Raw genomic sequence first — 23,882 nt, 5'->3', positions numbered from 1 at the left:
AAGACGGAGGTAAATGATGTAACCCAAAGTGCTATTAATTAATAACTGAGCTGGGTTAGAGTCTCTAAGACCAGGGAATACGCCATTATATTAAACTGAAGTATAATTTTATAGAGATGATAATATGAAACAAAATTGATTTGTAGTTATTATAAACTTTAAAGCATTGAAGCTATTCAAGAGAAAGATGTCTCAAAAAACAACAGGTTTTTATTTTACTTGGCTATCATAACTGCCAGAGTAAGTGTTCAATGAAGGTTAGGTTTTATTACTATTATTACATAAAGTTTGAAAAATTACTAGACATAATACCCAAGACAAAGTAAACTAGTGCTACTTAAAAAAGATAATAATATGTGGCCTGTATATGGTAAAGGACTATTGTTATCTTCAGGTAACAATGTTGTTGTTTTTACCTCCATTCAGAAAGCAGGTATTTCTTCTAAGAAGTTAATTCATTAGTGTGTATTGCTATTTTAACAGAGATAGAATATAATATACAATGACATGATGACCCATGGTTTTATGCATTTGGGCAAAAACCATCACTTCATATCAATTGTCATCCTCCCATTTCTCTTGTCTAAGGTGTAGATCCACTGGTATCTTTCATATTGCACAGTAACAGCATCACTAGCAACATCCAAATTCACTGTGTTCAAAACTAGAATCGTAGTGGCCACTTTTCTGACTTAAATGACCAGCTTGGAACATGTCAAACAGTACAATAAATCCTCCTACAAAATAATGTTTCTTGTTGAACAGCTTATACAACAAATTCAGTATGTATCAATGCGAAAACTCAGCATACATAGAATTTCATCTTTATTGTTCCTTCTGTAAATGTGTTGTCACTTAGTAGAGGGCAACCAAATCTCAGGCCAAACATACATAAATATGTGACAATTTATGCTGTTTGGGGACAGCAAGAATCTATTGGTTATTCAGTTATAGGGGAAGTATATTTGGTGATATGAATTTGCTTTATCCAACAAAATATGGTCTGCAAGAGCAAACCAATTCTAAGTTACCAAAGTCAGTTTGGACTGATCATATGGTACAGTCATATAAGTGGGAACATTACAGGGATGAGTTCAGGTTTTTTCTGGAAGAGTCTCTGTGGAGGAAACTACCACAAAGGAGCTGTTACCACTGCTGCTTTCTTGTTTTTTACCACTACAGTGCTGCATTCTTACAACCCTAAAATCCATCTGCTCTTAACACACCGTCAAAAAGAGGGGGAAATGCATCTCCGAGGGAGTGCTCGAGAGAAGATAATGGAATGGTCTGATGTAATCCCATACAAATTATTCCTCATGATGTGAAAATGCTTTTACAGGGACCTGGGAGATTTCTAAACTGAGTAAGTCCAAGTAAAAACAATTCTGGAAAACATTGTAGTTTGAACCTAATCCACTTAACTGGGTCTGTCTTTAAGTTGCTCACTTACTTCAAGTTTATTCTTTCAGAAGTTGAGCATCTCTGTCGTTTAGTAGTGGTCAGATTAAGTGTGCTGTTCTGCTTACTTGCTGGCTGAAGTCCTTTTTGTTACTTCTAGTGTAAGCTTTTAGAAAGCTACAAAATACAGTGACAGACACTATCATATTCAATTGGACATGCTTTCTGCAGATTTGTTAAGGATTTACTCTACACATTTGTAGCATTTAGTTGCCATGGAGATGACCTCAGTGGTAAGAGAGACAGCCTTTAGGTTGGACCTCAGATTTTCCTTTCATTTCCATTTAATTTGATTTGACTGCAAAATGTCACTCCCATTGCATTGATTAAGCTTCGTTGCTGCCACCAGCACTGTTAGGAAGGTGAAAGGGCAGGCTAGCTGCTGTCATTTTGCACCCCTACCCTTTTCTGATATCAATACAGATAGGCTTTGGAGATGAGAAACTCCTTCACTACATTGATGCAGACACAATTTTTTCTTGCTCACTTCGTGAACTATAATAAAACTGAAAATATGCTCAGAAATCTTTATTCATCAGATTCACTCTATACATACTCAATTTTTCTCTGCTTCAGCTCCACAGTATTGTAAGGTATGATATAAAATGTACGATAACTAAAAATTAATATGTCTTAATGTTTCCCTGAAATATATTTTTTTAAACTCAGCAGCTGGCCACTCTCTACTAAAATAGTTCTTTTATAGTTCAAATAAATTTGAAAAAATACAAGATAATTATACAAGTATGAAGCATTATTCTTGTTCATATGGATTGGAAGTGTCATCTTTAGGTATTAATACAGGTCATTTGAAAGTAAAATGATACAGTAGACAGTTTTCCTTTGGTACCCTGTATACTCCTGTCGGTTTCTTTCTTTATTCCCTTCCCTGATTCTTAATGTCTCCAGGAACCCAGAACTCATCTCTCCTTTTAGATTGAAAAAATCGATAAATTAATTCAACAATAAGATTTAAGAAAATAAATGTGATAACTTCTTAGGATTATCGTACTTATATTTAACTGGAGAAGCAGGGGACATTATTTAGCACAAGAAATTGATTGCAAATAAAACTCCAGTTATATGTGGAAAGACAAGTTGACAGGAAGGCTTCCAGATACTCTACACATCATAGCACCTAGCTTTGAGCTTTGATGTGAATGCTTGATTCTGGTGTGTCTAGGTTACCTTGTCAGGTTTCTTTGAATGGACCATCATTCAGAAACAGCACTCCATCACTTGATGGAGCGTGCGCAAGAAACCTGCAAATTCATGGCTTGGAAAACATACTAGCAAGTCACCACAGATAAACCAGCACTTCGTGACAAAGGACCTTAAGTGGGGCATATATTTCTGTAAGAAAGGTAGCTTTAGTGACTGGAGTTGGGATTAGGGAGAGGGGGAACGGAAACAATCATCCCTATTTGGATGTTGACTTCTTGGCTTATAGAGTTTTGGTCGGGATCAGGTGTGCTGTCCTTTGAGAATTGATACCAGCAGTGTCTTTTTGGGTAGTTCATCTTATTTCTGTTCAAAGTCTAAAGTGATTGCAGTGGGAGAGTACTGACAATTTCTTTTGGTCTCTTCTATAGTGATTGTACTTACCTACACAAGTTTTACTATCTTGGAATGTTCTAGAATTCCAGTTAATAAGGTGAAAGTCATAAACATGGCTCCATTTAGTTGTTATCTCTAAATGATTTAGAGAAGTGTTTGCCAAATTATAATGTGCATATGAATCACCCGGAGATGTTGTTAAAATTCAGGTTCTGATTCAAAAGGCCTAGGGTGGGGTCTGAGATTCTGTGTTACTAACAAGTTGCTAACTGAGGCTGATGTTGCTGGTTCCCAGATCACACTTTGTTTAGTAAGGATAAGGGCAGGTTTCCAATCTTGGCTGCAATTAGAATCACTTGGGAAAATTAAAAACATCTATATCTGGGTCCCATCCTACCCCCCAGAGATTTGTCTTTAATTAAGTGGAATGTGGCCGGGTATCAGGATTTTAAAGAAGCTCTCCAGCTGATTTTGGCGTTCAGCTCACGTTGAACATGACTGAGTAGAGAATGGACCCTGGAAGATGAAGAAAAAAAATGCCCATAGATGATAATGTCATAAATAATATTTTTAAAAGTCTACTCAGGGTTTTAATTTTTGCAATCATTCTGGAGTTTTTAGAGAAGACACTGAACCAAATATATAAGTAAAAAAACAATTCATCATTTTATGCATTAATGTCAAATATTAGTCCACAAATAAACATTTAATGATATTCTCTTCAGCAGTTTCTTCCTTTAAAAATAATTTAGGATACGTTGCCAGATTTAACAAATTTAAAAAAACAGACACTGAGGCGCCATCCCAGGCTTGCTGAATCAGAACATGCATTTTAACAAGATATTCAGGTGATTCACATGCACAATACAAATATTGCATGGGACATACTTATACTAAAAAAAAAAATAGTTTACCTGCAATTCATATTTACTTGAGTGTCCTGTATTTTACCTCACATCCCTATTTAGGAAGGAACTGATTTCCTTATAGAATAAAAATGGAAAATAGTAATCTGAGTTGAGAGAACACTCTTAGTATTTTACATTTCATTTTATCTCATCTTCCCTTATCTATAATGCCCACTAATTTTTAAGCCTATAAAGTAAAACCAGTGATAGCCCTCAAAACCAGTGGTAGTCATCCTATATGTTGGAAATAAATAGAACATTGTTCTGTTTATGCAAGAATGGAGACAGCTCCTTCACTTTTGAGGCAATAATCAGTTTGCATTAAAATTATTTTCCATTTTTGTTTATTTATTTAAAAATTGTCTGATATTGGGAAATTCTTTTATTTATAGAATCCAGAAGCTGCCTTGTTATAACTAAAGTATAACAATTGGTGCTCATAAAACTACAAATACTAGAATTTCCCCAAAGGGAAATTATCCAAAGGCTTATCTTACTATGAAAACACAGTCCCACAAGGCTAAAAATGTTGTGTCTGTATGCCCAAATAAGAAATGCTAATCTCTTAAAAAATTACTTAGATTAACTAAAATGTCAAAGCCTAGCATTGGTAAAAGCAACAACCATTGTTGGAAACTCACATTTAACTGTGGCTCCTGTTGACTGGCCTACTGTGATTCACAGACGTATATATTTTAAAAAAAACAGGTTTTAGAAGTTTAGTCACAAAAATTAATTTTCAGGTTAAGGTAAAAAATACACCATTGACATTATTAGGTTTTTCTTTTAACTGTCTCCTCTTTTGGAGTCTTAGTCACATCTGGTACTCTATTAAGAAGATGATATTCATATGCTGGTATTGAATACAGCGATTTGCGCTTTAAAATGTAGTGTTGAGAACTCTATTTGGAATGTGTTACTGTATATAAGATTGAGCTTTAATAGTATTATATTTCAATCTATAAATAACTTTTGCTTCCTATCTGACATTAAAACAATGTATGGCATTTGGCAAAAAGTAAACTGCCAAATGATTTCTTAAGTGCCTAGTTAAGGGATGACATTGTAAATTTTTTATACTGGCTACACAGCCGTAAGAATGTGTTTTAGGTTTACTGATCTTTCAAAGTAAATGATTTATTTTGGCACTATGAAATCATGAATGCTAATCACACTCTGGAAAGTGTAGCATTGTTGATTTTTATTTATAACGAGTCAGGTTCACAGGTATATTATGTGGGGAAGCTGTCTTTAATTAGTGAGACTCAGGAAGGTAAATGATAATGAAGCTTTCACATTTGCAAACTTGGTGAGCCAAGGGAGATAGCGAATGTTTATTAGGAGTCCCAGTGAGGTGCTTGGGTGAATGGACACATCAAGAGCTCTGTGGTCAGTTCCCACATGACCTAACTGAACCTCAGTTCCTTCATTTGTTAAGTAAGAACAGGCATATTCCCTTCACTGACTTGCTGTGAAGGCTAGATAAGATAACATGTGAAGATCCTGGCATAGTCAGTAGACATGCAGAAGAAAGGTACTTCCACCTCAACCACCCTGATGCCTTAAATCTCTCTCATGCATTCTGACCCTTCTTCCTTAGTAGAGTTTCTAGAAATATGATATGGCACATGGGACCCTGAATAGAGATGGAATGTTAACTGTTACTTGGCCAGATTTAAGCTCAAATGTGATTTTGTTAGGTGACATTTACTTAAAAGTTCCTTGAAGAAAACCATTTCTAATAAAGGAACACCCACCTGTAAGTCCAGAAATAGAGGCTCTGGTCCTGGGACTAACTAGATTTTGATTTGGCGGAAATTGTTTAACTGTTCTTGGCTGAGGTTTCTTTATTTTTTACAAAAGAGGAAAAGTTGAATTACAGTATCTCTATGTTGCCCTCCAGCCACTCTCATTGTGAAGTCTCTTGGGCTGGGTTTCCTGAGGTGCTGAGTTAGAGATTGCAAGTGCTCTCAGGATTAACACCTGTGAGGAGTAAGACTTTCGCCTCTGCTCTCCAGTACCAGGCAGAGGGAGGAAGTGGACTGAGATGCAGCCACAACTCAGAGCTCAGCTAATCCATGGGGAGCTTTGGACTGCATGGCCTCGCAGAGCTGTTCGTAGCTGAGGTAAGGATACTGGGCCTCTCTACTCCTAGACGCTTTGTAGGACAGTCATTCTACTGTGGGCAGTTCTGGGGAAGAATCGCTTGGGAGTGATCAGCAGTCAGACCTCCCGGCAGCTGGAAGGAGGGCCTTGGTCCTGGAGGGACATCCAGGGGCACAGCACAAGCCTCTACTGAGTGAGTCTAGAAAGTTTCCTAGCATCTCAGGGTCATTGACTCATACTCAGCCGACTATCAGTCTTCATTGGAATGCTATCACTTTCAGGGATGTTTAGGGAAATGCTAAACTTCAAAATCTCTGCACATAGTTGGAGGTGTTATTTTGAGCGTGGGCTCCATGAATGCATTCTCCAAAGTGAAATTAATCAACATACTCTGCTATGAAATCTTGACTGAACTTTATAGAAGGACAGACTTTTTATGCTGTTTCTAAGGGATCTCTCTCATACACATCTCTTCAAAGGCACCATTATCAACAGCTGTGGCTCTTGGAGTTTCATTTGTAGTTATATCCAGAACAAAAAGTGCTTACATACAGTATGAGACATCTAAAAAATAATAGTTATACAAGCCACCTAGAAAATCAGCCACTTTGGAACTTTAAGAAAAGATTCTGTTCAGGTTCTGTTCCAGTTTCAAATAGAGGAACTCTTCCTGCGTCAATGATGTTCACCCATTTTTAATTAGCTGATTACCTGTTTGAGGACTATGTGTTTCTCCTGTGCAATGGATTAACCCTGTGGGCTGCGACCCTGCAGGGAAGGTATTTTATGTTCTAACAAAGGGGGCTACATGGATGAGACCATCAAGAAGATAAAGCTAACTTGATCCACTATCTAAGGAAGCTCAGTGTATTCAAATATCAATGCATTCTTGCAGTGGACATATTTGGTGGGATAAACGAGGTGTGAGGCTCTGTATCCCCTTAGTTGGCCTGAAAATAGGATGTCAAACAGCATATAATCATCTTTTTTTCTAAGAAGAGAGAGTGAAAGTGATTTCTATTTGTGTCAGATTTTAGATGTCTTAATATTCTTTCCTGTCTAATTTTGCAGAAAGTGATAATAGAGTTCCTGTCAAATTAGAGGCTGCAGACTTTTAACCTATGTCATGAAAAAAAATTAGTTATTATTACCATAAACATAATTCAAATAAAAATTTAGTTGTAATACCATTATATGGAAGGGTGCGTTCCAAGCATATAATTTTACTCATTACAAATATTAAAAATTCAGAATGACAGTGCATTGAAGAAGAAATTTTTAAAAACCAGAGGTTTTTGGATTAAGTCTTTTGCTTCCAAAGATGGAGGGTCAATGTAAATTCTTAAGTGGAAAAAATAGAAAGAAAGCGATTCCCGTAAATACTTGTGCATCTGTTACTATAGAATGCAAAGCTATTTTTTTAAAATGCCTTAATCTGCCACATGTTTGTATCTGTGAGGCAGAGACCAGAGTGGATACTGTCAAGGGTGAGGAATAAAAGTGAGATAAGAAAGAAGCAAGTAGAAAATTCACACAGCATGCAATTTCATGGAAGAAGGTGCAAGTGATATGTCTGATCTCTGATGAGCCAGTAGTTTAACCTGTTTTATTAATCACCTGAGAGTTGCTTGCTTAAGTGGGATTGTGATGCTGGATCACTTTAGAATTGTTCAGACCTTAATAGAAACTCAAGACAATCTCTATTCTCTCCTCATTAGGTTTTCCAAATGCCGGTAGACAGAGCACGCTTTTTCAATAGTTCAGGTTTATTCACGGAATACTTAAGCAGGTGCATTTTTGGTGGGAAATTAATAAAACAAGAGAACGAATGAAGAAACAAAGAATATAGCTCTAGAGAAGCCCTCTCTACCATTGCTTTTAGCAGTATTAGCAAATTGGGTCACAGATAATTAGATTAATTTGACTACCCTATGGTTTTATTTGGAGAAATGTAATGTGGCAACTCTCTTTGCTCTTGGATATCTATAGTATACAAGAAAATGGAAACACTCGGCCTTCAAAAATGAAAGAGCTATTATGTCATGCTGAATCAGAGAGATGTAGACGCTGATGGAGTATCAACACCTGAAGCCACTCTATTAAAGCATGCCTTGGTACTGCAAGCAAAAGTCACAGAAAATTGGCTCTTGTTTTGTCATCTAAGCTTGCTACCAGTTAGTTTCCTTTAATTGGCTATCATATCCATTTACCAGAAATTGGCTCTCTTTCCTAGCTGCTGGATGTAGGAGTGATTTGCTTGTGTGAATGTGCTCAGGATCACACCTGCAAGAGAATTGTTTCAAGCCATCATTTCTGTTAGAGAAATTACTAACCATGAATGTCTAAATAGGTATATTACAAATGAATTGCAACACCTAGAACTGGAGAGGCTCTCCTGGTCTATAAGATATTACTAAGTACAATTTAAGGATAGTTAAGCATAGTATAAAAGGAGTTGAAAAATAAATAAACAAGCTCAATGGTTGGTGTAGGTATTTTACCTAAGTATTAAGCTATGGTTAGCTTATAAACCTACATCTTAATGCCACTCTGACTAGATTGCTTTCATGAGTAGAGTGTAACCACTTCAGCATGCACTTTTGCTCAACTTAAGAAATCAGATTTTTTTTTATTATTTCAAAACATAGTGCCTTTTTTTTAAGGAAAAAAAATTCTAGCATTTAACTTTGCTTTTCTGAACTAACAGGCATTTATGGTTATCTAATTGCTTTAACCATGTATTTCCTGAAATGTGGTTGTCCACCAGTAGTTTTAACCACAAATGCAGAGCTCCAATTTCTACTCTTCAATAGATTTTCTGAATTAGGTCCACTCCTGTCATCAGAGAAAGGTTAATGTAAATCTAGAATAAATATTTAAAAAATATAAGAAGAAGGTACTTTAAATGCAAAGGAAAATAGATTTAACATTCTTCTGAAACAAGTCTAGTAAGGATTTTAAGTTTTTAAGACTTTCTATTTAATTACTTTGCATTGAAGCCAGCTGGTTTGCTAACTTTCATGACCTTATATTCCCTGAATGTTCTCATAAATCAAAGGAAGAATATGCTCAATTCTAACATTAGGCCTGGGGAAAATTCCATATTTGAAAACAAAAGAAAGAAAGGTAGAATCAAGGTTGCCTTGGGAATTTTGAGGTCCTTGGTAAGGTTAATTGGGAGGGCATAAATTCCTTTATCCTTGGATTCTTCTTTTCCTTTCTCTTCTCTCCCCCTAAGCTTTCTTGCCCTCTAACCCATCAATTTCTCTTATAGCTAAAGCCTTCACACTTCAACATTGAACCTGGAGATATAAAAATATTCTAACAGGCAGGGTGATGTCCTTGGTGGTCTCTTCAAATTCTTTTTAGTGCTTTATTTTAAATTCCAATGATTTCCTAGAAACTCAAGGGTGAAATGGTCCTCTCAAGGTCATCAGTCTAGCCTCTCCAGGTAAGAATGCCTCCCACCCTCTGGGAGGTGGCATTAGTGGCCAGTCCCAAGGGACACATTCCTGCTCCGAACTTCTCCAGTAACTGTGGATGACCTCTGTGATGAAGTGGAGGAAGGAGGTGCACATTAGGTTGGATAATTTTTTAAACTACACATTTTACCTTATAAGTTCGATTTTAAATATGTAAATCATTGCTTTACGCAAGCTACTCTTTCTGAAGAGATGTATGTCAAATATTTAGGTATTTGGTAGGGAAGGAAGCCAGAATACACTGAGATCAAGCAACTCGATAAACATTAATTGAGGACTTCTGTCTAAGGAGTTGCAAGCTCTAATGCCTCAGGATGAGGTAGATGACATAAATCTATTAATTGAGCCTTATATAAGCAATTGGGATGGTGTGAGGTCTGAAGCCTTCAAGACCATGTGATAGCCAGTCAGAACATGTGTTTGGGCCATATTCTGCCCAAAACATTCAGTGTGCAAACTCTTAAGTCTCTTTGTATGATATCTGCTGGATCTTGCAGGAGATGTGAAAGTGAAGACCTGATTCCTGATTTCACTGAGGTAAAAGAATAATACAAATTATTACTTTTCTAATGGCATCTATAATTCCTAGAGTAGCTACAGCGTCCCAGGCATCATGCCATTCTTATTCAATGTTTATACTAACCCTATGCAGTAGTCATATTCAACTCCATTTTAAACATGGGAAAGTGGAGGCCCAGAGAGGTTTAGTTACTTGCTCATGATCATTTCTCTAATATCGGTTAGAGCCCAGGTTAAAATGAAAGTCTACAGACCTGCAGACTTCTAAAACCCATCTTCTTAATCACTCTTCAGGTGTCCTTCAGATTATCTTCCATGAAGAGTTAATATTAGATATTCATTTTTTTAAAAAGATGATTATATGAAAAGGTGTTCAACATCGTTGATCAGAGAAATGCAAATCAAAACTACAATGAGATATTATCTCACCCTAGTTAAAATTACGTCTACCCAAAAGGTAAGCAATAAATAATGCTGGCAAGGATGTGTAGAAAAGGGAACCCTTATACACTCTTTGTGGGAGTGTAAATTAGAGCAACCACTATGGAGAACTGTTTGGAGGTTTCTCAAAAAACTACACATTGAGCTACCACATGACCTGGGTAATCCCACTGCTGGGTATATATCCATAAGAAAGGAATCAGTATATATATATATGAGATATCTGCACCCCCATGTTTATTGCAGCACTAGTCATAAAGCCAACATTTGGAAACAACCTAAATGTCCATCAACATATGAATGGATAAAGAAAATGTGGTACTTATACACAGTGGAGTACTATTCAGCCGTAAAAAGGATGAGATCCTGTCATTTGCAGCAACATAGATGGAACTGGAGGTCATTATGTTAAGTGAAATAAGCCAGGCACAGAAAGACAAATATCACATATTCTCAATTATTTGTGGGGGCTAAAAATTAAAACTCATGGAGTTAGAGAATAGAAAGATGGTTACTAGAGACTGGGAAGGGTAGTGAGGGGGTAGGGGAAGCAGGGATGATTAATGGGCACAAAAAATCAAAACAATAAGATTTAGCATTTGAGAGCACAACAGGAGGACTATAGTAAATAATAATTGTATATTTCAAGACAACTAAAAGAGTATAATTGGATTGTAACATAAAGGATAAATACTTGGCTGGGCATGGGTGGCTCACGCCTGTAATCCCAACACTTTGGGAGGCCAAGGTGGGTGGATCACTTGACGTCAGGAGTTTAAGACCAGCCTGGCCAATATGGTGAAACCCGTCTCTGCTAAAAATACAAAAAGCCAGGTGTGGTGGTGCATGCCTGTAGTCCCAGCTACTTGGGAGGCTGAGGCAGGAGAATCACTTGAGCCTGGGAGGCAGAAGTTGCAGTGAGTTGAGATTGTACCACTGCATTCCAGCCTGAGTGACAGAGCTAGACTCTGTCTCAATAAATAAATAAATAAATAAATAAATAAATAAATAAATAAAATAAATACACACTCGAAGTAATGGATATCCCATTTATCCTGATCAGATTATTACATGTTGTATGTCCGTATCAAAATATCTAATATAGCTCGTAAATATATATACCTGCTATGTAGCCACAAAAATTAAAAAAGAAGATGATTGGTGCTTCTATGGTCAAATAATGGAAAACAACAAAGTTTGAGTTACAGAAAGTGAAACCCCACACATTACTTACTGTGGGATGCTTCCAGTGGCTTCCACATTGTGCATTGTGAATCCCTAAAAGTAGGTATATTTTGCAGTGTTTCCCAAGCTAAGGTGAATTTCATAAATGTGAATTTCATAAATTATCTCAAGTCCTGTTCTAAGGAACAAATTTTGGGAAATTCCTATTTATAATAATACCCAGCTTCCTCATTGAGATTAGTGTTGTCATTAAGGAGACAAATATTGTGGTTGCGCATACTCATTTTACAGAGAGTGTGTCAAAAGAAAGGTAGTCTTAGGATTTGGTCTTAAAGATAGGTAGTAATTTTCATGGATGATAATACTTTCATAGATAATGTGTGGGGGCTAGGGAACACTTCAGGAGAGGATTTCAGTCACAGGAGTGGCATAAACATACACAAAGGACTGAGGGGCACAAGAGTCAATTTGGGCAATGTGGGAAAAGACTGGTGGATGAGTGTGATTTGATGGTTACCATGTGTTCACTTACTGTTAATTATATTTTAGAAGATGGTTCTTATTACTTCAAAAGTTAGAAAAGATCTAGAAGATTTTAAGTCAGATAACAGGATGTCATCTTCACATATATTAAATTCACTAATTTCTTGAAAAAATATTTACTACTATTATCTTCCAGGCCCTGTTTTGGGTCTGATGCTACAGCTGTAAATAAGCTGCACAAGGTTCCTGTTCTCAGAAAACTCACAGACAAAAGCAACACAAAGCGACATGAAAATGTCAACGAGCGGTAACTGCTCTGCAGAGAGTTAAAACAGGCTGATGTGATGAAGAGTGCCTTAATGGCCAGTGTAAAATAATAAGGACCTAGATATTTTGAAGATCATGGGGAGAACATATTAGGCAGAGAGAACAGTTAGTTCAGTATCCTCAAGGGAGAAACAAACTTGAGGTTATGGAGGAACAGAGAGAAGACTAATGTGGTTGGAGCATTGGCAAGGAGGAAAATAGTAAGAAGAGTTTGGAGAGTTGATAAGAGCGAGAACACAGAGTAAGGAATTAGAATTTTTTTTGTAAGTGTGCTGGTGAGCTGTTGGAGGTTTGTAAGAAGGGGTAAGGAGGTTGTAGACTGTGTAGTCTTCCCTCTGATTGCTTTGTGAATGATAAATTACAGGAAAGAGAGTAGAGGATCCAGTTAGGAAGTGATTGTAATAGTGTAGGAAGTTCTAGTTTGGACTTGGGGTGGTAGTTGTGATGGAGAGAAGTAGAGAATTAATTAAACCTAGGATGTGCTAATGAAATGGAAGCGGGGTGTAGCGGGGAGGAAATTAGGTACAGGCTGGTGGCATTTCCTGAGATGAGGAAGACTGAGGGAGGTGCAGGTTTGGATGGAATGTCAGGAGGTTTGTTTTGGACACATTAAGATGGAAATGCCTGTTAGACCTTCATGTGGAGAGGTCAAAGCAGCAATTGGATTGGTGAATCTTGAAATCAGGAGTGAGGTCTGGGCTGGAGATAATAATATAGGGGTATATTACTCCACATTATTCCAATAACGTAGTTAAAAAGGTCTACCCACAGTTAAAATGCACCTCAAAAAGATAAGCAAGCAAAAGTATCTGTTAATAGTGAAAACTTAAAAGTGAATAAGGTATAGAAATACCATAGTGCAACAGGAATTAAGGACACAACTAGTTTCCTCTTATTTATTAAGTGGTGGTAAAGCATCAGGAAAGCATTAAATTTTAGTATTTAATACCAAGAAGTCCCCTGTAGTTCAAATACTTGTCTCCTCTACAACACCGTGGGTAATATCTTTCCTGGAGAGGCCTGAATGCTCGGTATTGCCAGGGCTTATTGTTGCCTTCCAAGGTGAGCAATTCCAGGTTTATAATAAGTTCTTCCTTTTTGTGAATGGATATTTTTTTCAGCAGTAGTTTTTCTCTCCATTTTCACCCGATGCTACAATTTGAGATTTAGAAAATCCAATCCTCACTCCTTATAAGAATCTCTCATTTACTGTGAGATGGTTATTGTGCCTTTCAGGATTTTTAGGTTAAATATACCTAGTACTTTTAGTTGCATCTCATATGACATGTCTTTCAGTTGCCTTGCACTTGTTTTGTTTTTGTTTGTTTTTGAGACAGAGTCTCATTCTGTCACCCAGCCCATGCTGGAGTGCAACCTCTGCCCCTCGGGTTCAAGCAATTCTCCTGTCTTAGCCTCCCAAGTAGCTGGGACTACAGGCACATGCCACCAATGCCCAGCTAATTTTTGTGTTTTTAGTAGAGATAGGGTTTCACCATGTTGTTCAGGCTGGTCTCGAACTCATGACCTCAGATGATCTACCCGCCTTGGCCACCCAAAGTGCTGGAAATACAGGAGTGAGCCACCACGCCCGGCCACACTTAAGAACAATTTGTCCGCATCCCTCTCCAAGCATGGCACCTTGGGTTTCCCACAGTGTTGTGGGCGTGCTCCAATGAGACTGAGTAGAGGTGGCTGTGGCTCCCATTTGCCCATACTTCTGTTGATGGGAAGCAATACAAGACCTCTCTGCTTTTTATTTTTTCATAAAATCTTTGATTTTACAATAGTTTTATAGAAAAGTTGCGAAGATAGTATAGACAGTTACTATTTACCCTGTATCCAGCTATCATTGTTGTTAACATATTATGTTGTTATAGTTTGTTTGGCACAACAAATGCACAAACATTGGTACAATGCTACTAAGTCAACTCTACTTTATTTAGATGTCTTTAGTTTTTTTTCCGTAGTGTCATTTTTCTGTTCCAGAGTCCCATCCAAGCTACTGTATTACTTTTAGTTGTCATGTCTCATTAGCTTCCTCTGGATTGTGACAGTTTCTCAGATTTTCCTTGTTTTTCGTGACCTTGACAGTCAGGTATTTTTAGAATGTCCCTCAGTCTGTGCTTGTCTGATGTTTTCCTCATGGATGGATGGGGCTTGTGGGGTTGGGAGAGGAAGGTCACAAAGCTGAAGTGCCGTTTTCATCACATCATACCAAGGGCACACGCTGTCAACATGGCTTATTGCTGATGACACTAACCTTTTTCACCTGGCCAAGGTTTCTCTAGTGTAAAGTTACTCTGTTCTCCCTTTCCATACTGTTTGTTCTCGTTGGAAGAGCAGCCCCTGCTCAAGAGGAGGGGAGTTAAACTCCACCTTCTTGACTGGGGAGTATTTACAAGAATTGTTTGGAATTGTGTAGTGGAGATTAGTCTCTTCTCTCCCAGTTATGATCAATTCAATCACTAATTTCTATCAATATGGACTCATGGATATTTGTTTGATCCTTGGATTATGATACAAGAGTATGCTATTTATTTTGTTGCCCAAATTGTTTCAGCTTTGGCCATTGGGAGCTCCTTCAGGTTGGCTTCTGCGTCCCACTGATATACCTCCATTATTTTGTTTCCCTCTGTGTTTTTTCACTCTGTGCTGCTGCTCACTCATGAATCTCCCATCTTATAGTGTGCTATTGTTTTTTGGGGGGAATTGTTGATATAAAACATATATTATGTTTATCCTTATTACATTTCGGCTTCTTAGACTCTCCCATTACTATCACCTCTTGCCTGCTCTGTGGCAATGACCTCTTACCTGGTTTCTGAAATTCCATTCTAATCACCCCCACTTGCACTATAGAGTCAGTCCTCTGAACAGTAGCCAGAATGATTTTTCTAAACAAATCAGTCATGTCACTCTTCCCCATGTTGGTGCATGAAGCTTCTATGGCCCAGTTCTTGCTCATCTCTCTGATCTCATCTCTTAAGATTTGCATCCCTCCCTCAGTGTATTTTAGCCATATGCTGATTTTTTCTGTTCCTTACAAATACTAAACTTGTCCACATGGGGCCTTTCAAACATTGGGCCTCTCTGCTGGGAATATTCTTCCTTCTTACCTTCAAATGGCTGAATTTTCCTTGGTGTTTCTGATCTTAGCTCAAATAACAGCTTGTCAGGAGGCATTTTTTTGCCACCCAATCTAGGGTAGTCTCAGTCTCTCCCTGTCATATTACCATGTTTTGTTTTCTTTATAGCAATCATCATCATGGGATGATTATTTTTCTTAATAATTTATTAGTCATTTGTTATCTGCCTGCTCTCACCATTAGAATATATGTAGGTAGGGTCTTATCTCTCTTGTTCATAGCTGTGTCTTCAGTGCCTAAAGCAGTTACTAGCACATAGGAGATTGCAATAAATATTTGTTAAATGCTGGTTGCAAAAGGCCTCATGATTTCTTCTGAGTAGCACTTATCTCTGAGGTTTCCATAATGTGTTGGCCCTTGTGTCGTTATACCTTGGTTATTTCATGCTATTGTCTTTTACAGGATTGTATAGTACAATTATCCTTCAGATTATATGTTCTGTCTGTCATAGTAAATTTCCTCCATAGAGAGAGAATAAAGCTAACCCTGTTCCCATCAATACTTGCTTCTATCCTGTAAATATGTCCAATGTCCAAGCCCTCCCTGTATGTCTCATTCCATTGCACATCACCAGGTCAGACACTGTGGAATCCTAAACTGTGAGAGTTGAAGGCAGAGCTTGCAGGCACCAAAATTTTTCTTACAAACTAATATCAATTAAGATAGCAGCTCTCTATGAATATGACTGTTACACATTTCATGATCTTGCCTATTTATGCCATTATCCAGTCCATAGCTCTGTCTTGATCACAACAAAATCAGTGCTATGTCAGTATCCTAACCAAGCTAAGATATAATAAAATTATGTATTCCTTGCGTTACCTGTTTAACCTATTCTGGACTCCTTATTATCTCTATTTCCTGGTCTTAGTATTCAAAAGTCATCTGTCTAATAATCCACTTTAGACTCTATCTTTGAATCTATATGAAACTCATAGTCTGTCACAATGAAATTTATCCTTTCCCTTTTACCTCCTTTTTTTGCTCTCTTTCAACTGATACACAGTCACATAATTTTAATAAAATTAGAGAGGTTCTCAAACAAGCATAATGTTTTAACGTGTTAAGGAGTGTGCATTCATTAGACATGTCTGATACCATGCAAATTTGACCATCATGTAGCTTACATGAGCTATATAGCACTTTATAGTCACTATAAAATCACTAACTGACAATTCTCGTTTAACTTGAAATGACTTATTGTTTTAACTAACTTACTTGTAAGTACTTGTGACTGTCTGTCTGTTACAATGGGGATTGCATTAGAGACTAATGTCAGTCCTGGAGGTACCGGTGGAATCAGTTACTATCTCAGTTCTTTCAGATGGTACAGAAAAAATCATCTAGTATTTATTGTTGCTGTAGTGTTGTCTTTGGTCAGCTTCCTTGGGAAACACACTTTGAGTCTCTGATATTTGTATCTGTGAGGTTTATTGTGTTGTGCCCTAGGGAACAATAGCTTATGCAAGGCTCAGGAAGCAGGATGGGCAGATAGAGAGGTTGAATTGAGATGCAGTTGCAACAGAGGCCTCAGCCAATCCTTTGGGGAGCTCTGGAGTTAGGATGGCCCTTCCAAGCTGTCTTGAACTGAGACAGTGGGCTGTCTATATACCTCCCCATTTAGCAGACGTTAGACATTTGCTGCTTCTGGGATGGAGTGTAGTTTTGGATGAGGCGGCTTCCTTTCACCAAAGGCAGTTCCCAGAGAGGGGCCAAGCTGTGAGCACTGCTGGCAGCTGGGGCACTAAGTGCTTCATTTACTAAAGGAAGGATCTTTGGTTGTGTGGACAACACACAACAGCATCTCCTACAGTTGAATTCAAATACATTTCATGCCCCATTTCTAAACAGCATCTCCTATGGGGGAATTCAAATAGATTTCCTGTCCTGTTCCTAGCTTCCTGTTAATGATGAATTTATTTGCATTCATTCTTGAATCATTACATTCATGTTCTTTTCCAAGGTCCTGTATCTATTCTGATTATCTGCTTCTTCAGTTTCTTCATCTATGGAGTAGGGATAATCACACACGTGCATGGGTGCACACACACACACACACACACACACACACACACATTCAGTGGCCTGGCACAGTGTTGAGTACTTAGTAAATGCTAGTTTCTTCTGTTCAAACTTTAAATGCACCTTTAACTACCCTAGCTAAGAAACAAACAATTAAGTTTCACAGATCCCCGTCCCTCCCTTTGAAATAGAATGCTCCCCTCTTCTAGCATCTTTTAGGCATTTCACGAAGTGTGTTTAGAGAAACTTAAAAAATCAGCAACCCCCAATCCAGAACTACCTCAACCCCTTCCACATCCCCACATCTCACCTCTTGGGTAGGTAAACGCTAGTTTAAAGACCACAGGTTTCTGGAAGCTTCTTAAACTTTGGCATGTTAACATTTAGTGGAGGAATAATCTGAGGTTTTACTGACCAAGTCCTTTATTCATAGTTGACAAGAAAGCAGTGCCTTTTTGAAGCTATTATATGAAGTACTATATTAGAATGGGTGTTGAAAAAGCTGCTTTTCCTTGTTCTTTCAAAACAGTTTTTCCTGCAGAGGAAACTCAAGTCTCAACCTGTTACATTGATAATGCTCAATAACATCTGATTTGAGTCAATACTGATTATTGTGCAGCTTGGCCTGCCAGGAGATATTATCCTTCCTTCAGCTAACCAGTCTCAGTGATTCTTTATCAAACATCTCTAAACTGTGACAACTCATTCTTGTTCTAGCATCTTCTATGTGCTGAAGAAAACAAATAGACACTTGACTGTGTCAACAATGCATGCCCCTTTTTTTTCTTTGTAGGAACCTAGTTTATGTAAAGAAGTAAATTGTCTCTGCAAGATATGACAGAATCAAATTGGTTTGGTATGCTGAACAGTTTATGTTTATTGACTGGTATCATGAATTCAATCAGCGATTTTCAACAGGGTGTGATGGAAATCGCTAAATTCATGTGGCATCTTCAGGTGTTTATTGAAAGCATTTGCAGTAATCTCATGTCCATCTTTACTTCTGGGGCCTGTCCTATTATTGTACATGATTTTGAGGCCCAAAAAGTGTTTTAAAAATAATCCATAAACTGGCCGGGCGTGGTGGCTCACGCCTGTGATCCTAGCACTTTGGAAGGCCGAGGTGGGGCAGATTGCCTGAGCTCAGGAGTTTGAGACCAGCCTGGGCAACACGGTGAAACCCCATCTCTACTAAAATACAAAAAATTAGCCAGATGTTGCAGTGTGCGCCCTTAGTCCCAGCTACTCGGGAGGCTGAGGCAGGAGAATTGCTTGAATCCAGGAGGCGGAGGTGGCAGTGAGCCAAGATTGTGCCACTGCACTCCAGCCTAGTGACAGAGCAAGACTCCATCTCAAAAAAAAAAAAAAAAAAAAAATTATAAACTTAAATTTACAAAGCTCAAACGTTGTAACTACTTTAGTTTGGGAAATAAATGGTTAGCATATGCGGTATCATCTAGAATTCCCCTGTGGCCTCCTGCCACCTTCAGAATAAAAGCTAATGTCATTATGATGCCCAGAGTGATCCTGCTCTCTGGTTACTTCTTTAACTCATTATGAACTGCCCTATCTCTTGCTCGCTCTTCACCAGCCACACTGACTTCTTTGATGTTTGTCTAATATGCTGGGACAGCTCCCACCTCTGGACCTTTAAGTTTGTTCCTTCATCACGCTGCTCAGTTAAATCAATGACTTGCTCCCTTACCACCTCCTAGTTTTGTGCAATGTGACTTTCTCATTAACGTCTCCTCTTAAAACTTTTAAACTTTAAAGCAGCAGACACTACCCCAAACCGCACCCGCTCTCTGCTCCCTGGCCCTATGACAATCTCTCTCTCTTCTTTGCTTTATTTTTCTCTTTGGTTTGTAGCACCTTCTAATATACAATATATTCATTTATTGTGTTTATTGTCTTTTCTGCTCACTAGAATATAATGTTCTTGGATACAGGGAGTTTTGCATGTTCTGTCCACTAACGAATCCCTAGAGCCTGAAATAATGCCTGAAACTAAACAAATGTTTGTTGAATAAATGAGTGCAAATAAGATAAGAGGACATAATCTACATGGAAACTGACCTAACAGGACATCAAATATAGGCTGTATACTCTAAATGAGTTAGGATTGCGTTCTAGCAATATACAAAAATTTGCCTCTTTTACAAATCTCAGAAGTTCACATTGTTTCTCATAGATACCTTTTTTAAGAAAGTGTCTATAAAGTATTTACCCGTTCTCTCTTAACTGTTTCTCATTTACTTATTGCTTTGCTTGTTGTGGCGTATAGTTCAATTTTTCACACCTTGTTTAGACTTACGTGTTTACTGTTACTCCACTGTTTTAAGTTTCCTACCTCCTTAAATCCACAAAGCACTTCAAGAAAGGATTTCCATGTATTATATTTTGTTCAGAAAGCCTTATCTCAGGCAGACATATTTGCCCATTTTCTTTTTTATTAAAAAAAGTTTTATAATCATTATACATGCAGAGTGCCGTTCCAACAGACTGGGTTAGTATCTCTCCATGAAACCGCATACAATAAAATGGTTTCCTAAAAAAAGTTAACAATGCATAAAATGCTGATACAGTGCTTCAGAACACTTAATTATTTCTTTTTCCCCCCATTGTTTATCATTGTTTTGTCAACTTTTTATATCACTACCCACAATGCTTTGAGTTTGGTTTTCTTTGAACATTCTTTTCCTCTGAACTTACCATGAACTTGTGTCTGTAGCATGCCGCCACAGATTGCCACTGCCACTTTATAAAGGGGAAAAAAAATCAACACTTTGGTTGTAAAAGGTGCTAAAAGCAAGCTCCGATAATATGCAATAGTAAAAACACATCCAATTGCTGTTTTAGGCTGCAGTATGATGCTTGCTTTAAAGGACAGTTGGTGTAATAATTTGCACATACTTAAGGAGAGTCAGGAATTAAGTTTGTGTAGGGAGGAGGAAGAGGAAAAAAGAATTATCCTTCATAAGATTAGGTGGACCGTAGGAGGAGAAAGATTGCATAAATACTAAATATGATACAAGAGAGGACGGGGCCCATTATTGCACACGCAGTGTAGGATGATGCAGAGGGTTATTTGTTTTGTGCAGTAGGATGGGAGGAGGGAATTTTTTTGCATTTCTGATTATTTCTCTGCATACAGAGTTCTATTAGGAAATTATTGTTCCTTCTGATCAAAGTCTTATGACGTGGGTTCTGGATTGGGAAACAAATCCTGGGTGTTCAATGCAGCCGTTCCAGTGGATAAAAGTGAATGTGAAAGTCCTACAATAAGAATTCCTGCCCAACTTGCATTCTCAGGTGATTATTTGGTAAGAGGAGAATGCATGAACCCTGACTGTGGGATGTGACCCAGGTCATGGCAAAGTCTTGGTTTCTTAAACACCAGGATATCCAATAATTTCCCTATATCCCATGTTATATTCGGCTTACTGTGTTGCATCAGAGCTGCAGCAGGGCTTGAAGGACCAAGAATAATGTGGGTCAAACCATCTGTTTAGGATTGTCTGGGAGATTGAAAAATCTTACTTGTTTGTCTCCCTTTGCCTCACCTCTCCTTGAGGGAGTAGGTGAGGGGAGGAGGACGGAGACTTTAGTAAGACTGATGAAGAGTATGGTCACAGAAATTCCAGTAGAGAGAATTAAGGGTGCTGAGGTGTTTCTTCTGTTCTTCACACACACACACACACACACACACACACACACACACACACACACAAAGGATCATGTGAATGGGATGCCACACAACCACTCAGGGAGCATGGTACAGGTAGCCTGGCTCCTAGGGGTTGCAGAGTCTGGTACCCGACCTAAGCATGCAAAGGTAAGAAGGCAAGAAACCATGGCAATGAAACAGGGACGCATGGAATGAGCCACACTTTCACAACTAGTAGGGAAGAGATGGGATCTCCTGGAGGTCATCTGCGGATCCTGTGGAAGGGAGTCAATTATGACCGCTCCCACCCCACACACTGAAGAATTTACTGTCAGGAGGAAGATAACCTCAGCAGAAAGAGACTAGAGTAGATTATCTAAGGTAGAAGTTGAGGGGGTTCCTCAGTCAGCGTCTGTGGCATTGCCAGTGTCCAAGAACTGGTGTGAGGCTAATCTCTGAGGCACCCATCCAAATTTAAACCATAAGAGCCAGCACTGGGTCAGGGTAGGACATAAGTCCCAGCCAAGGAAGACCTCTCCTATCTTACTTCTCCCCCTTCTCCTCATTCTTCACTTACGTGGCAGTTAAAATTTGACTCAGATTTTTATTGACTAGAATTTTAAATTGCCACCAACCAAGATGTTTGCTTATTTAATAAGCATTTATTGAGCAGGTAGTATATGCAAGGCACCATGCACTTGCGTATTTCCTGACTTCGAGGAATATGTCTAGCAATGAGATTTTCCTTATTTATTTATTTATTGAGATGGAGTCTTGCTCTGGTGCCCAGGCTGGAGTGCAGTGGTGTAATCTTGGCTTGCTGCAAGCTCCGCCTCCTGGGTTCACACCATTCTCCTGCCTCAGCCTCCTGAGTAGCTGGGACTACAGGCGCCCGCCACCATGCCCGACCAATTTTTTTTCATTTTTAGTAGAGACGGGGTTTCACTGTGTTAGCCAGGATGGCCTCAATCTCCTGACCTCTTCCTCCACCCGCGTTGGCCTCCCAAAGTGCTGGGATTACAGTCGTGAGCTACTGCGCCCGGACTATTTTTGTTTTTAATGCAATTTTGGTCTTCAAAAAATTGACAATAGCATAGATGTTTTAGGCCTATACACATAGTTTATGATATGGAAATTTCACTTCCACTTGAGTGAACAAAGTGAAATGAGATTGAGCTGGGAAGACTGGGAAAGGAAGAGCATGCTCAGGATAGTCCTTCTAGATAGATGAATGGAGGAAATCTAGGGCAGGAAGCTGCATAACTATACAGGCATACCTCAGAGACATCATAAGTTCAGTTCCAGACCACCGCAATAAAGCAAATATTACAATCAATCAGGTCACACAGATGTTTCCCCAGTACATATAAATGTTTTGTTTATGCTATACTGTGGTCTATTAAGTGTACAATAGCATTATGTCCAAATAAAGAACGTACATACCTTAATTAAAAATACTTTATTGCTAGAAAATGCTAATGATCATCTGAACCTTCAGTGAGTCGTAATCCTTTTGCTGGTGAAGGAGGGTCTTGCCTCAGTGTTGATGGCTGCGGATTGATCAGGGTGGTTTTTGCTGAAGGTTGGGGTGGCAGTGACAATTTCTTAACCTAAGACAACAATAAAGTTTGCCATGTCAATTGACTCTTCCTTTCTTGAAAGATTTCTCTGTAGGAGACAAGGCTGTTTGACAGCATTTTACCCACAGTAGAACTTCTTTTAAAACTGGAGTCAATTCTCTCAAACCACTGCTTTATCAACTAAGTTATTCTAAATCCTTTGATGCCTTTTCAACAATGTTCACAGCATCTTCACCAGGAGTGGATTCCATTTTAAGAAACCTCTTTGTTTGTTCATCTATAAGAAGCAACTCCTCATCCATTAAAGTTTTATGAGATTGCAGCAATTCAGTTGCATCTTCAGGCTCCCCTTCTAATTCTAGTTCTCTTGCTATTTCCACTATATCTGCAGTTCCTTCCTCTCCTGAAGTCTTGAACCATGGCCAAAGTCATCCATGAAGATTGGAATCAACTTCTTCCAAACTCCTGTTAATGTTGATTTTTTCTTTTTTACCCCCTCTCATGAACCACAAATGCTCTTAATGGCATCTAGAATGGTGAATCTTTTCCAGAAGGTTATCAATTTAGTTGGCCTAGTTCCACTGGAGAAATTACTATCTATGGCAGCTATAGCCTTACAAAATATATATATATGTATATTTTTTTTAACTATACTTTAAGTCCTGGGGTACATGTACAGAATGTGCAGTTTCGTTACATAGGTATACATGTGCCATGGTGGTTTGCTGCACCCATCAACCCATCATCTACAATAGGTATTTCTCCTAACGCTATCCCTCCCTTGGCACCCCAACCCTGACAGGCCCTGGTATGTGATGTTCCCCTCCCTGTGTCAATGTGCTCTCATTGTTCAACTCCCACTTATGAGTGAGAACATGTGGGGTTTGGTTTTCTGTTCTTGTGTTAGTTTGCTGAGAATGATGGTTTCCAGCTTCATCCATGTCCCTGCAAAGGACATGATCTCATCCTTTCTTATGGCTGCATAGTATTCCATGGTATAT

At 38.5% G+C, this 23,882-nt stretch overlaps 1 protein-coding gene across 20 annotated transcripts in view; it reads left to right on the top strand.

Annotated features, from left to right (window-relative positions):
* SOX5 (SRY-box transcription factor 5) overlaps nucleotides 1–23,882 on the top strand; it is a 1,033,147-nt gene that overhangs the window by 100,692 nt on the left and 908,573 nt on the right. For 5 of the 20 annotated variants that reach the window (XM_047429461.1, XM_017019892.2, XM_047429457.1 and 2 more), the window contains exon 2: nucleotides 1,183–1,363. The exons of the other annotated variants lie outside the window; for them this stretch is intronic. The gene's annotated coding sequence lies outside the window, so the exon portion shown is untranslated. The remainder of the gene's footprint in view (nucleotides 1–1,182; nucleotides 1,364–23,882) is intronic. 20 annotated transcript variants of the gene reach the window in all.

The sequence above is a fragment of the Homo sapiens genome, chromosome 12, assembly GCF_000001405.40.
Source record: "Homo sapiens chromosome 12, GRCh38.p14 Primary Assembly".
Classification (NCBI taxonomy): Eukaryota; Metazoa; Chordata; class Mammalia; order Primates; family Hominidae; genus Homo; species Homo sapiens.
This window is presented reverse-complemented; position numbering and strand designations above follow the sequence as displayed.